This window comes from Homo sapiens, chromosome 3, assembly GCF_000001405.40.
Source record: "Homo sapiens chromosome 3, GRCh38.p14 Primary Assembly".
Lineage (NCBI taxonomy): Eukaryota > Metazoa > Chordata > Mammalia > Primates > Hominidae > Homo > Homo sapiens.
The window spans coordinates 42,515,122-42,530,418 of record NC_000003.12 but is presented as its reverse complement, the minus strand read 5'-3'; the positions used below and the strand labels follow the sequence as shown (position 1 = coordinate 42,530,418).

General features: G+C 53.7%; 1 protein-coding gene across 12 annotated transcripts in view, besides 1 other annotated feature; it reads right to left on the bottom strand.

The window, feature by feature from the left end:
- VIPR1 (vasoactive intestinal peptide receptor 1) overlaps positions 1–15,297 on the bottom strand; it is a 48,270-nt gene that overhangs the window by 7,150 nt on the left and 25,823 nt on the right. For 7 of the 12 annotated variants that reach the window (XR_007095725.1, XR_940500.3, NM_001251882.2 and 4 more), the window contains 4 exons: positions 11,089–11,196; positions 4,426–4,532; positions 2,923–3,026; positions 2,296–2,428 (listed from right to left, as the gene is read on the bottom strand). Coding sequence is in view for 10 of the 12 variants with exons in the window: in NM_001251882.2 (NP_001238811.1) it covers positions 2,296–2,428; positions 2,923–3,026; positions 4,426–4,532; positions 11,089–11,196 (452 nt within the window). In the remaining 2 variants the exon portion in view is untranslated. Of the gene's footprint in view, positions 1–2,295; positions 2,448–2,922; positions 3,027–4,425; positions 4,533–11,088; positions 11,197–15,297 lie in introns of those variants that run through there. The other 5 variants (XM_005265437.3, NM_001251884.2, XM_047448850.1 and 2 more) reach the window with 3 other exon arrangements.
- Positions 5,605–5,775: a silencer, noted in NCBI's record as "fragment chr3:42566136-42566306 (GRCh37/hg19 assembly coordinates)". NCBI's record gives its function as "represses an EF-1alpha promoter that drives an FKBP-Casp9 reporter gene in an ReSE screen in HepG2 liver carcinoma cells {active_cell/tissue: HepG2}" and the evidence as "EXISTENCE:reporter gene assay evidence [ECO:0000049][PMID:32094911]".

Here is a 15,297-nt window from a genome sequence, read left to right as displayed (position 1 = left end):
TTTATCCATGTGTCCATCCATCATCTATCATCTTCCCATCTATCAATCCATCCACCCACACACCTATCTCTCCATTCTTCTACCAACCCACTCAGTCATCTACCCATCCATTCATCTCTGCACCCACCCATCAATCCACTTGTGCATCCACCCACATATCTACCTACCTGCCCCTCTGCCTATCATCTGTCCAATCTTCCTTACTTAACCCATTTATCCTGCTGCCTACTTAGCCATCCACCAACCTGCCCATCCACACTCCCACCCCACCCACTCATTCATCTAATGCCAATTTGTATTGAAGGTAGCTGGAAGGTATGAGGGAGAATTCTTGCTTGAGTTTCAAGAGTCTGCTCAATGTGGGGGAGTGGAGGGCTGTGGACTGTGGAGTGGGGCCCAGATGGAAGTGTGGAGGGAGACTGGGACTGAGAAGAGGGTGGAAGAGGGGGAAGTAGAAATGAAGAAGAAGAGAAGAGGGGAGGGGTGGCCATTCCTCCTGGGGTTCAGAGGACCGAGTGGAAGAATGGGTTTCTTAGGCAGACGAGGACCATGAAGGAGTTAGGGAGACCCATGAGTAGAGCAATCACAGGGCTCTGGGTGGCCCACTTGGCATGACTGGAAGGTATTCTGGGCCTTCTGTCCCCTCCCAGAAAGTCCCCCATTTCAGATCAAGCCTAGATGTCTGTCAGCCAGGGCTTAAAGCCACCCTCCACCAGGAAACTGTCTGGCTTCCACTTCCCCCTGTACCCAAAACATTGGTTCCCACCCTTCCTTCCTGTACCCTTGGTTTGCGACATCCTCAGAGAGAAGCCTCCCCCTGCCCCCACCACTCCCTTTGGTTGGAAAGTCCTTCCTCAGGTCTCGCTTCAGTCCCTCCAGTTACAGGAGTTCTTGCCTCCCCATCTTCCTCCCATTTGCTTTTGGAGAATAACTCTTTTTTTTTTTTTTTTTTTTGAGATGGAGTCTTGCTCTGTCACCTAGGCTGGAGTGCAATGGCATGATCTCGGCTCATTGCAACCTCTGCCTCCTTGGTTCAAACGATTATTCTGCCTCAGCCTTCTGAGTAGCTGGGATTACAGGTGCTGACCACCACACTCAGCTAATTTTTTTTATTTTTGTATTTTTAGTAGAGACTGGGTTTCACCATGTTGGTCAGGCTGGTCTTGAACTCCTGACCTCATGATCCGCCCAACTCAGCCTCCAGAAGTGCTGGGATTACAGGCGTGAGCCATAATCCGCGTCTGGCCATAACTCAGCTCTTTACCAGGACAGTTATCTGTGCTTCTTCCTAGTCTTAGAAAAGCTTCGCAGTAATGAATTGGGAAGCCAGTCTCCATAATTATCCGTAACATGTGCACAGGAGGCAGCAGGTTCCTCCACAGGTCCTGTGGCTCACAATGCTCATGTCTGACTTGGCCTCACAGCTCCTGGGACAGAACCTCTGAGAAGCTCTGGGAATGGCCAAAGTGGGTCCCCTAGGTTTTCTCTCCCCCTTGTTGAAATGCCTGAGATTCCAGTATGATCATTTCACTCTTTGGGGAGAAGGTACTGCTGACCCCTGATATAATGCACTGCCTCTGGGGTCATGCATGAAGCAATGAGTTACTGACCACAAGGAATGAGTGGGGGCTGGGGCTGATCTCAAGCTCTCTGTCAAAGCTTGGGGCACTCAGAGAGGGTCCCTAAGAATCCCTTGGAGATGGCCCCCTTAGTGACTGGCAATGAATTCCTTAGATGATCCCTTTACCTCTCTTCCCTAGGAAGGCCCAGAACCAGCCTGCTGTCAGGATCAGAACAAAAGAGGAGGACTGCATATGTATGGACCCACTCCAGATGGCACGGGGACGGGGGGAGTAGGAAAAGTGGCATGGTGAGCAGAGCCCTGGCTATGCAGGTGGCAGATGGCAGAGTTGGAAGGAATCTTGGAATTCCTTGCACAGATGGGGAAACTGAGGCTGTAAGTTCCCCAAGGCCACATAGGAAGTTAGCAACAGGTGGGACAGGTGCTCTGGGCTGTGGCCATGAAGTGTCCCATTTCCCATCTGCTTTTCTCACTGGCGGCGGCAGGTCTGTGAGCACCCAGATGGGTGAGCAACATCTCCTGTTGCCGGAGGGGAGTGTGATTTGAGTACTGCCAGGTGGGGTTGGGTGGGGGTTAGGCTATCCTTGGATTGAGGGGTGGGGTGGGAGGGAAGAGGGAGGAGGGAGAGGGAGAAGCAGGGGGAGAAGAGGAGATTACAGTGGTTAAAGATAACGGCGAGACTGAGGGAGGTGGGCCAGGGCCAGGATCCTCACCGAGCCCTCGGAGCACTGGTCCGACTCCCCGCTGTCGAAGAGGGCCAAGTCTTTGATGAAGACAGCGGCAGCCCTCAGGATGAAGGATATGAAGAGGTGCATGTGGATGTAGTTCCGCGTGCAGTGGAGCTTCCTGTGTGGGGTGGGCAGATCTGGGAGGCCAAAGGGGCCTTGGATCCCCACCCCAGCCAATGCTGTCCTATGTGCTGAGCAAGGGTGGGGCAGGGGAGCATGTGTCCTCCAGAGGGCAGGCCCCGCCTCAAAGGGGATCCCATCCTGAAATACGAGCCCCACCCCCAGGTACCCCATCCACCTGTGCAACTGGGCTCCCAAGGGCCTCAACCTCGTGTGTGGCCCCAGAAGCCTCATTCCTGTGTGCAGGCCCCACTCTCTGGTGCCCTGTCCCCAGGTGCAGGGCCATCCTAGGGGAGACTAGGCTGCAACACATGGAAGAGCTCAGCCACCTGCCTTCTCCAGGGGAAGCTGGCCTGGCAGGAGCTGGGGAGTATGTGCTGCTGGGGGGCAACAGTGGAGGGGTCGGGGCACGCCTGGGCCACGCTGGGCTCCACTGTGGGAGGGACACTTGCCAGGTTTGCTTTGAGGCCTGTGACTTGGGCTGGGCCTCACCTGAACAGGCTCAGGATAGCTGTGGCGACCAGAAGGGTGGCGAGGGACAGGCCGTAGCCAATGGTGTAGCCGGTCTTCACAGAACCGTAGAACATGGTCTGCTGCTGTTGGAGGGACAGGGAGAGGCTCTTGGGTGGTGGGGTGGGAGGCTCATCTAGGGGGTATTGGCAGGGGTGGGGTGCCCTACACACTCTGCCTGCCCAACCCTGCCTCAGCAAATGAGGAGGCTGAGGTCTGGGGCTCCCAAGAGCAGCTGAGCCCCTGACCCCTAACGCCCTGGTTTCTACAGACAGGGCAGGACTGTGTCTTAGGGTGGGGTGGGGGTTGAATGTACTTCCTGTCTTTGCTTCTTTACGAGGGACAAGTTGGTGAGGGAGAGAATGAAGACCTTGCACGTCCCTTTTGTTAATTTCATGTCTCCAGCCATGTGCCCGGCTTCCCTTCTGTGCCAGCTCTGAGCTGGGCACCCTAGGGGTGGGGTCTGCTTGCCCTTCAGACACCCCTCGAGGCCCTGTCTCTGTATAGGGAGGAGAGGTATGCGAGGTTGCGGGATGTCGAAGAAGACACTGGCACTAGTATGTCCCATTTTGGGCCCTTGGGAGTTGGGGTCGGTGGGATGAGGGCAGTCTGGCCTTTCCGGTGGAGGAGGGCAAAGCTAGGCCCCGAGGGTGTCTCGCTTGGTCCCCTCTCCTGATGCCCTCCCCATGGACACAGGTGCAGTGCAGCACGACAGCCACTAGGCAAGCCACTCCTTCCTGTCAGCCTCCCACGCTTGCCTGAGGAGAGGCAAGTGGTTAAGGGGGAATGAGGGCCTATAGCTCCAGTGGGCTTCAAAGGCCTCTGAAGAAATTGCTGTCCTCGGGGGTGGGTGGAGTGAAAGCCCGGTCTGAGAAGGGCGCCTGAGGGTGGGGCAGATGCCATCGCAGACAGACACACACACATGCATTTGCACCCCAAAGCAGTGAGGGGCTCCTAGCTGAGGACTCCAGCCTCCCCATCAATGTCCTTACCAGGCTCCCCAGTCTTTACAGAGACCATGTTTTAACTGCTCCGGGGAAGATATCTGTCCTGGGACTGAGAATGACAGGCTCTGTCCCTGTTCCTGACTGGCTATTTGGTAGCCAAGTCTGGTTCCTTCCAGGACCTGCAGCAACTCGGTTTCCCCTCTGGATGGGATGGGGTGCTGGTGTCTGCCTGCCCTGCCAACTCCCGGGCTGAAGTGAGGTTCCCATGAGGCAGTAGGGTGGCCCAGCCTGGGGGAGCTGCTTCAGCTTTTGCTGCTCTGGGGGCCCCTCCTGTGGGAAAGCCTCCTCCCATACCCTGTCAGGGGGAGCCAAGGGTTGGGACCCCAGAAAGGCAGGCCTGGAGGAGGCTAGAGGAGGGCAGACTCCAGGAGTCCTGTTCCCACACAGACAGCAACCACACCCCTCGGTGGGAGAGATCAAAGTCTCCTAGGTGGGCCCCGGCGCTCTGCAGGTGAGGTGGGGGTGCCCTGAGACCCACCTCATCCAAACTCGCTGCCTTGTCATCCAAACCACAGGCAATGGGGTACGGGCCAGGCTCCAGGTGCGTCCAGCCTTCGTCGGTGCAGCTGCGGCTTACATTGCGGCCTGGGTGGAGGGCAGGGGCAAGGACAAAGGCTGAGGCCGGGAGCATGGGGACCTGGCTGTCTCTGCTTGGAACAAGGCAGAGAATTCAGCCCTACTCCCACCAACCCTGGTGCTGTCAGGTTCCAGCTGCCCTGACCCAGTTACCCAGGGCACCGTGGGGGCACCTGGGGCAGGGAGAAGCCTCTTCAGGGCTCCCGCACCGATGATAGAATCAGAGCAGACATTCTTGGGCTCAGCCCTTTTGTTATGGTCTGAACCTGACCCCAAGTACAACATACACTCTTATCCTTGTCACAGACCCTGCCTGGATCCTTGTCACAGAATGATTCCTGACCCTTGCCGTGAGCAGAATGCTGACCCTTGTCACAAGGCCACGGCTGGGGGAAGGGGCCCAGGCCTGCCCGGTCCTCCTCAGTCAGCCTGCCTGGGCCTGTGGGGCTGGGTTTCTTCTCACACCTGGAAGGGCTTAGATGTGCTGCTGGAGGGGGAGCAGGAGTGTGGGGGTGAGGAGGGGTGGGGTTGGGGAACCTGTGCAGGCAAAGGCATGTGAGGGGGAATCAGGCAGCACAGCATGGCAGGAGCTTGGGGCTGAAACAAGCAGAGGCTGAGGCTCCAGGCAAGCTGCACTGTCCACTGTCCTCAGAGGCTTGAAGCTGCAGCAAAGAGACAGGACCGCTTAGGGGGTATGTGAGGTGAGGGGTACCACTGAGGCTCCCCACTCTCCAGCACTGGGGAGGTGTCCTCTCCCCAGAGAGGGAGAGGATGGGTTGAATAGAAATTAGATGAGCCAGAGAAGAATCACGCTTCCCCATCTCAGTACCCGTTCATCACCACCACCACCACCGCCATAGTCACCATGAGCAGCATCAGCAGCATCACTGTTGTCAGCCTCATCACAATGACAGGTTTTGAGTACTTTTCAAATGTCAGTGCTGGTCAAGCACTTTAGGCACATCCTGTTTAATTTCCTCAATCATCCAGTGAGGAAGTTAACTCCATTTCACAGTTAAGAAGTGGAGGCCCCAAGAGGTTGGTTACTTGCCCAAGGCTACATAGAGAGGACAGGATAGAGCTGATTTGGTCTCCAGAGTCTTCCCAGGTAAGCTTGGTTCTCACCTGCATGGAGGTGACCTGAGGACTTATTTCGGTGACCAGATAAAGAGCTGCAGGAGGGTCAAGCTGTTCTATGAGCTCAGGAAGTGTCACTGGGCACGTGTGTTTATTTCCAAACTTTGCCGTATGCCCGGAATATACCAGGTGATTCCATATTCACCATTTCTGTAAATCCTCCTGGCAACCCTTGGAAAGAGGTCTTGTCACCCTACTTCATGGATGAAGAACTGAGGGACAGCTAGGGGTGGGGATGGGACAGCCAGGAAAGAGCAGCCGTGGGCTGGGTCTATTTCCACCGCATGGCCCAGGGAGGGCAGGATGGATTTGGTTGAGGAGGGGGCATTGGACTGGGCCAGTTTCCTGCCTTGGCATCCCTTTTTCTGCCCTGGGCTCCCAACCTCACTGTTGCAAGAGGCTCCTAGGACAGCAGAAAAGCCTTCAGCTGTCCTTCTGCGCCCCTCTCAGCTTCCCATCATTGCAGCCAGAGGTGGGCCTGGCCCAGAGCCTTCAGCCCAGCCCCTCATCAAAGGGTAGGCTCTTCCTCAGCCCCAGTTCCAGGGAGCTAACTGCAGGCTCTGAGGCCCTGGATCCCACCCACAATCTGATTCATTTGAGGACTTCCCCCTACAAGGCTCAGGCAGGTAGAAAACAGGGTTAAGGGCTGGGTGCGGTGGCTCATGCCTGTAATCCCAGCAGTTTGGTAGGCCAAGGCAGGCAGATCACGAGGTCAGAGTTCAAGATCAGCCTGGCCAACATAGTGAAACCCTGTCTTTACTAAAAATACAAAAATTATCTGGGAGTGGTGGCACACACCTGTAGTCCCAGCTACTCAGGAGGCTGAGGCAGGAGAATCGCTTGAACCCAGGAGGTGGAGGTTGCAGTGAGCCGAGATCACACCACTGCACTCCCACCTGGGTGACAGAGTAAAACTCCGACTCAGGGAAAAAAAAAAGAGGATTAAGGCCAAAATCACCCAGCCTTGAAGCTGGGACACTGGAGCTTTGGGCTCCCTACTCACCAGAGGGACCGGGGCTTGAGGAGGCCAGGCCCAATGACATGGCAAGCATCTGGTATCATGAATTATGCCAGCAAACCTGGGTGACTCTGGCATGTACACAGCAGCTTCACATGCCGTGTGTGTGTGTGTGTGTGTGTGTGTGTGTGTGTGTAGTGGCGGAGGTGTTAGGGTAAACATTAATGTGTTAGGGCTAGGAATTGGTAGTTTTTGTTATCCCATCAAAAAATGGGGATCCCAAGGCTAAGAGAGGTTAAGTCATTTGCCCATGGTCACACAGCAAGGGAGCAGCAGGTGGGATGCAGACCAAGGTCTGCCTGACTCCAGATCTTTCTGGGCTCCCAGCAGCGGCCAAAGGGATACTCTGTTTTCTGGAGCCCTGGCTGCCATAGATGGTGAAGGAGAGGAGGGGAGGGGACAATGGGTCATCTCTGGGGCCAGGTGGTCTCTTTGAAGAGCCCTGGGATTGTGGTCAAGGCCTCATAGCAAGCTGCTCTCAAGGATATCAAAATGGCAGTCACCATGGGATCCCAAGAAGCAGCCAAGAGTCTCCCTCCAGTCTGGGCCTGGAAACCGGCAGGCCCAATATCTGTAGAGGGGGACATGAAGGGCAGGAGGGAGGTAGCAAGGGACTTTAACCCTGTGCTGGGAAGGACACTCCACTGGGGGCGGGGTCAGGGCATGCAACAGTGAAGGGGTCAGGGCATGCCTGGGCCAGGCTGGGCTCCACCGTGGGAGGGACACTTGCCAGGTCTGCTTTGAGGCCTGTCACTTGGGCTGGGCTTCACCTGAACAAGCTCAGGATAGCCATGACGACCAGAAGGGTGGCAAGGGCCACCTTTCTTCCAGTCTCCTCCCACTCACTATGTCTCAAAAAGCAGTCATGGCCCCCGCTTGTGCCTAGCTAGGATCCTCCACTCAGTGCCTGGAGCCAGGAATTGAGGAATAATCCTCTCCCTCCTCTCCCCCATCAGTCACCAGTCCTGTCCCAGCTTCTTCCCCAGCACCACCACCACCTCATCTCCCCTGGATTAGGTAGGAGCCCCCTGCTTTCCTGTCAGCTCCCCACCCTGAGACAGCTGGAAGGATCATGCTAACACCCAGACCTGACCATGGAACTCTCCTGCTGATTCCCTGCCGTGGTGTCCCATCCCAGCCAGCAAGTTTGAGCTTCCTAGGCTGGCAGCAAGGTTTTCTTATTTATAGCATCATGATGCAGGTGGTAGGGGAGGGGAGGTATCCCATAGACCCCACAGACATGGTTAACATAGACTGTATGTCGAATTTTCTCAGCCAGAATGGCTCTCCCATATTTATTTTAAAACAAATCTTTTCAAATATTTGAAAGTAGAGGCCAGGCATGGTGGTTCATGCCTATAATCCCAGCACTTTGGGAGGCCGAGGCAGGTGGATCACAAGGTCAGGAGATCGAGACCATCCTGGCTAACATGGTAAAACCCCATCTCTACTAAGAATACAAAAAATTAGGTGTGGTGGCGGGCGCCTGCAGTCCCAGCTACTGGGGAGGCTGAGGCAGGAGAATGGTGTGGACCCGGAAGGCGGAGGTTGCAGTGAGCAGAGATAGTGCCACTGCACTCCAGCCTGGGGGACAGAGCGAGACGCTGTCTAAAAAAAAAAAAAAAAAAAAAAAAAAAAATATATATATATATATATATATTCGAAGGTAGAAACACAGATGAAAGATATGCAGACTACAGATTAAAGAAGTATGCACCTGTAATCCCAGCACTTTGGGAGGCTGAGGTGGGAGGATCATGAGGTCAGGAGTTCAAGACCAGCCTGGCCAATACAGTGAAACCCTGTCTCTACTAAAAATACAAAAATTAGCCAGGTGTGGTGGCTGGTGCCTGCAATCTTAGCTTCTTGGGAGGCTGAGGCAGGAGAATTGCTTGAACCCAGGAGACGGAGGTTGCAGTGAGCCAAGATGGTGCCACTGCACTGCAGCCTGGGTGACAGAGCAAGACTCTATCTCAAAACATTAATAAAATAAAAATAAAGAAGTGAGCTACCATGAACATTTTGATGTCTTAATGAGCAATTCCTTGCCTGGCCAAACTCCCTCCTTCAGGTATTTTATCCAGTCTAGGTAGATGACTTTTTTCTAACTCTCCACAATTTTTATCTTCTATAAGGTTTATTTAGCTTTCCCTGTATAACCAGGTCCCTTCCCGTGGATATAATTCTTCCCAGGCCTGTTGTGTGAGTTGGTGATGCCATCATTCCTGCCTCACACTTGCAAACTTCCCTCTTTGGAATTTCAGGTCGGTTGCCCACAACTTCTTCATCTACTTGCTCAGGAGAACACTGTCTTTTTTCTGTTTTCAGTCCCTAATCGCAGTCTCTTATTTCTCTCCACCATTTTCAGAGACCAGGCCCACAGAGTATGGCTGTGCAAGTTGTTCACTCTACAAGGGCACCTGGCCGGTAGGCATATTCTGCTTGTCACTAGGTGGGCTCTAGTGAGAGGTCATCTCTGCCCGAGGAAGGACTGCCTTTTTCTTGTCAGTCCAAAGGCACCGTATGGGCCCCATTGATGGCGGCAGCCTCAGGGTTAGCTAGATGGTGGGCTGGAGTCCAGGTTCTCAAGGGCAGGAGTTGCCTTGACACATTCCAGCAGGGACAGAAGGAAGAGCCATGGGGAGGAATGCAGTTAGCAGAGTCTCAGGGAGAAAGGCAATTAGCAGGTGCTTCCAGGGATCAGAGAGAAGGCTAGTTTCCAGGCTTGGTGATGGCGTGCACTGTGAAACCTGCCAGAGGAACTCATCTCTTATCTGCCCAGGCACTGGGTGTCCCTGGAGGAGGTGACCAGGCTAGGTGGGCACTGGCCTGGAATATGGCATGGCTGTGACCCTCCCAGACTCCTCAGGAGGGCTTCAAGTTCTATCTTTCACTACTGAGGTCACAACAGCAGGCACTGGGGGGCAAACTGGCTTACCCCAAAGAGACCCTGGGGTCTACCACCTATCCCCACTTTACAAACGGGGAAACTGGGGTCCAGGGAGGAAAAGGCCATCTGGAGTGAGAGATGCCTGAGTTCTGTTCGCTCTCTGAATAATTATATAAGTTCTGCTCCTCATGAGTCCTCCCCACTCTAGGCCTGCCCCTCCCTCCATGCTCCCCACCCAGTCCCACTCTCTTCCCTAAGGCTCATTAAACCTAAGCCTAGGGTGGGGCCTGCTTGATTCCTCCCTCGCCTCACTCACTCCCATTCCCTCCATAAACAACTCTCCCACTTCTCTCCCGCACTGAGCTCACTACCTGAATTCAAGCCATCATTTCCTGCCTGCCTTGTGATTGGGTTTTCCTGTTTACACTCCTAGAATTCTTCCTTCTCACAGAAACCAGTTAGACGTTAAAAATCTAAATTGGACTTTGTCAGTCCCCTGCTTAAAACCCCCCACTTCTAACTGGACTTAGGAAAAAACTCAAGTCTTCGCTTCTGTCCTCAAGGCCCTGCATGGTCTGGCCTCGGCGCACCTGTCCCTCCCCTCCCTTCATCCCTGGTGCTTTCCCTGCTCCAGCCACACTGGCCTTCACGGAACTTCCTTGGATGCTTGTTCCACGGGCTGTTGATTCTCTCTCTCAGTTGTCCCCAATCTGGGATCTTTGCCTGGTGGTTCTTTCTCACCTCCAGGTCTTCAGATTGCAGATGAAGTGTCACCTCCTCAGAGAGGGGCTGTTTGTGAACCTCTGCCTTAAGTTAGTCCCCACTCTCCTTATTCTCTCGTCCAGCACTTTTTATTATTGATGATACATCTGTTTATTTCCTTACTAAATGTCTCTCCAATGAGAATGCTAGCTCTGGGAGAGCAGCCCCGGGGGCTGTTTTATCCTCTCTCCACTGTGTTTGTCCAGCTCAGTGCCTGGCACACTGGTAAGTGCTTCATTCACTGCACAAAAGAATGACTGAATCTATATTGTGAATCTCTTTAATGACTCACTAGCTAGAAAGCCACCTCCTAAAGGGGCTCCCCCTTTTCTTTTCTGCCTCATTCTGTGGACATTCATTTAAGTGGAACATGACAAGGTGTGTAAGCAAAGTCATGTGGTGGCTTCATGGAGCCCAAGAGGTCATAGGCTCCAGGCATCGAAAGACTGAATCAAGACCAGCCCAAGACAACAGGACTATGGGAGTCATAATTTAATCAAGTACCTGTCAGTCAATCAGTTATCAATTGTTGAGCAAATATTTAGTGAGCCTTTCCCACATGCTTATCTTTATGTGAAGAGCTAATCAAATCCTGTGAGTTCTTTAAAGACCCAGCACCATTGCCTCCTCTGCCAGGGAGTCCCTCGGATTGCTCCAGCCTCTTTGACCACTTTCCTTTGCCTTTCCACTTCCTTGAGAGGTGAGTCCCCACTCCAGCCGGCCCCACTCACATCACCTCTTCAACCCAGGGGTCTTACCTTGAATGGAGGAGAAGAGCTTGAAGATGAGGGGACAGGCCAAGACAACTACCTGGCCCCGAGGGGTGGCTGGCCAGCAGGTGAGGTTGTCCCACATCTTGCTGCAGCCTATGGGGGTAAGGCAGAAGACACATGGGTGAGCACAGTGCAGGTGCCTCCAGCCCTGGGGCCTGAGGCCATAGGCACCCACTCTCTTCCTCCCTCTGCCAGGCTCCCACCTCAAGGAGCCTCCAGTCTGAGAGGGGAGGCACAGCCCTGCGGAGGTTGCACGGGGCTGTCCTGACAGGGAGGCAGGAAGGAGGCCTGACTACAGTTCCTTGGTCCTTAGTGAGGGATGGAGCGCCCCCTGGGGATGTTTCCAATGCCAGTGGTGGTTTTGACTGTTGCAGCAATAGGGGGGCCTCACTGGCATTTGATGGGCAGTCACCAGGGATGCCAGACAGACAACTCCTGCACAATGATGAATTGTCTCACATTCTGCATGGCTTCCAGATGAGCCACTGGGCATATGTATAGGTGAAAACCTTTCATAATGACCAGAGCCTAGACTCTTACACCATTTTATGTATAAACACACGCCATTTACTTACTTATTTTTTGAGATGGAGTCTCACTCTGTCACCCAGGCTAGAGTGCAGTGGTGCAACCTTGGCAACCTCTGCCTCCTGGGTTCAAGCAATTCTCCTGCCTCAGCCTCCCGAGTAGCTGGGACTATAGGCCCATGCCGCCACGCCCGGCTAATTTTTGTATTTTTAGTAGAGACAGGGTTTCACCATGTTGGCCAGGCTGATCTCGAACTCCTGACCTCAAGTGATCCTCCCACCTTGGCCTCCCAAAGTGCTGGGATTACAGGTATGAGCCACCGCGCCCGGCCAACACAAGCTGTTTATTGCACAAGTTTAACATACATGGAGTTTTCCAGGAATGCAGCCACTGAGAAAAGGGAGGGAAGATTGTATTTTGTTTTGTTCTGAACTTCACTAAGAGTTGTTCAATGTTTTGGAAAATCATGATACCCATAGCAGTGCTGCCTGTGATACTTGAGTCACCGATACAACTACCTGTGTCCATCAGTCTGCATTTGTAGGCCTCACATTCCCAGGATTTATATTTGTAGGTACAACCTTCAGACTACATCTAGTGTGGTTATGCTTGAATATGTACATGGTACTTTATTGTAAATTACTTTCCTTTTAATATTTATTTTACAGTATAGCTAGAACATTATTTTTTATAAAGTGGATGGGTACGTGTCCTGAATTTCATATTATGATAGTGAAGGAGGCATTAGAAAATGTTTTGAGACTCTGTCTCAAAAAAAAAAGAACTAGATGCATCCCAATATACTCATCACCCCATCATAGTCTTGCTCTGTCGCCCAGGCTGGAGTACAATGGCATGATCTCGGCTCACTGCAACCTCCACCTCCCAGGTTAAAGTGATTCTCCTGCCTCAGCCTTCTGAGTAGCTGGGATTACAGGAGCCCACCACCACACCCGGCTAATTTTTGTATTTTTAGTAGAGACGGGGTTTCGCCATGTTGGCCAGGCTGGTCTCGAACTCCTGACCCCAGGTGATTCACCTGCCTCTCAGCCTCCCAAAGTGCTGGGATTACAGGCATGAGCCACCGTGCCCAGCCCGCACCTAGTTCTTGAACAACACAGATTCCCCCAACGTGGTCGGATTGTGAATTGTGATGGAGGGGAATAGTTAGGGAACAAGTGCAGCGAAAACCCTGCATTGTGGCTGCATTCTCCGCCACAGCCTTGCAGAGCCTGGCCAGTGAAAGATGCACAGTGTGGTCTCTAGGGGTCTGCTTGAATAGGCACATGCAAATGCCATCATTTAGTCTGTTCAGAAGCTTCATGCCCGTGAGGGACTAGGACTGCTCTGGACCCATCCCATGCAGGAGGCTTAATTGTCTCTTTGCAATCCTGCCAGTCCCATAGATTTGCTCAGAAAACCCAACCCCTGAGCCAAAGTCAACGCCAGCTGGGCCAAGCCCAGCCCAGCCCAGCTCAGGTCCGAAGGTTCACAAGTTCCCAAGAAGGGGGTCTGGGAAGAGGAGGTGGAGGGATGTGTTTACTTGGGGAAGAGCCTCGGGACTGTGTGCATTGGAGTGGGCTGGCAGCAGCAAGGGGCACTTTCTGGGGCTGCAGCAGTCAGGCCACATCTATAGCTGAAGGCTGAGGAGGACACCTGGATCCCTAGGGCTTGGCCAGAGATTGCAGCCTTCCTTGGTCATGGACCCTGACCACTTTTCCCCCAACCTGTCTTGAGGGCTCTTGTGGCCTCATGTTGGCTGTCAGTCCCTCTTCCATTCTGGGCCAGCTTCTCTGAAAGCTGAGTAGGGGCACTTCAGGTCAGTCAAACCCTGCTGGGGGTTCAAGACCCTGTTAAGAATATCAGCAAACATTCATATAACATTTGCATGTGCCAGGCACTGTTCTAACCTCTTTGGATGAATAACTTATTTAATGCTTCCATTTCACAGATGAGGAAATGGAGGCACAGACTGATTAGAAAACCAGCTCAAGGTCATGTTGCTGGTAAGCGGTACAGTCTATTCCCACTCCTCTTGGTTGGAAGGCCTGTCATTTCTCTGGGAATTTTGCTGCTGCTGGACTTTGTTTACCCCTCTCTGACAGCACTGGGCACGCCCTGTTTTGTAGGCCGGCTATTGTGTCTGAGTCCCTGCCAGACTTTGGGCTCTCTAAACCTCCGGCTGCCAGCACAGGCCAGGGAGTGAATCCGGGGCTGGGTCTCTGGCCCTGAGCTCTGCTTCACTGCAGTGGGACAGAAGAGAGGAAACCAGGCCCTGCCCTTGGGAGGCCACACTTGGCCTCAAGGAATCTCAGCATAACCAAGGCTGGGCTGTGAACTGGTGCTGGGGTGTAGGGCAGCCAGCAGGGCAGGGGAGCAGGATGAGAGGCCAATATGAGGGACATGGTCAGGGAAGCAGGGGACGGGGTGACAGCCATGAATATACTTGGTACCTGGAATGGCCTGTTGTCCTGGGCTAGGCAACGGGAGTATTTCCTGTGTGCCTGCCCTAATGAGGCCCCATAGGTCCCATCACACATGTCACCAGGCCTACAGAAATACAGGGCCCAGGCTGGCTGTGTGTGCCCACAGGTGGGGCTGTGCCCTCAGCAGGAAAGCCCAACCCAGAGCTTGGGGTAAGGGATGGTGAGGCAAGATGAGGTGGGGCCTCTGCTGTGTCATTTTGTAGACTTGTGTGCACACAGAGATACACACACTGACATGTACATGCCAGTACACAGAACACCAGGCACACATGCAAACATGCACACATGTACACTTACCTGAACACAGACCACAGACACAAGCAAATGGGCACAGAGAGACACACAACTCACAGAGACATACATTCAGAGAGACAGACATGTCTGGGTGTATCACTGACATTCACACTGATAGACATACAAGCCAACACACAGAGACACAGCACACTGGGCAGACACATCTAGGCATGTCGAGATGGCATGTGCCCAAGCTTAAATAGACACACACTTCTGACTCACAAAGATACTCAGAGTCAGACACAGAGCTATAGACCCCAGAGGCACAGACGCAGCTCCAGACAGACATGGGCCAGGAGCGCATACCTAGATGTGCATGAACACGCACAGAGCCCTACAGAAGGTCACGGGCAGACCCATGGCCACAACCTATGCTGGCCCTTCTCTGCATCCCAGCCTGGCTGCTGGTGACAGGGTGTTGGCACCCGACGGGAACGCTGTGCCAGCAGTGACCTCATTGGAATCACGAGGGTGGCCTGTCCCCAGGCGTGGGAGGTGCGCAGTGGAGTCTAGAGTCTGGGCCTCTTGGGGCTGCCTATGATCCCACCGCTGGGGCCTGCCAAAGCCTGTCTGCACCTGGTCCTGGCTCCCTGCACTGGTGGAGTGGGGTGGGGCCTGTAGGTAGTGGGCAGGCCCAGCCACCCCGTGACCCATGCCTCAGTCTCTGGGCCCTAGAGTCAAGGGGTTGTCCTGCTTTGAGACAAGGGTAGGCAAAGCCCATCTGTGAGGCTACACATACTCACTTACAGAACAGGAGGCAGACAGCCTGGGCACCAGGGCCAAGAAGAGGGACCCAGAAGGGGTTACATAACTGTCAGCTTTAGAGAGGTGGAAGGGGAACTAGGGAGCCAGGAAGACGTAAAGATGCTCCCTGCTCCTGAGCAAG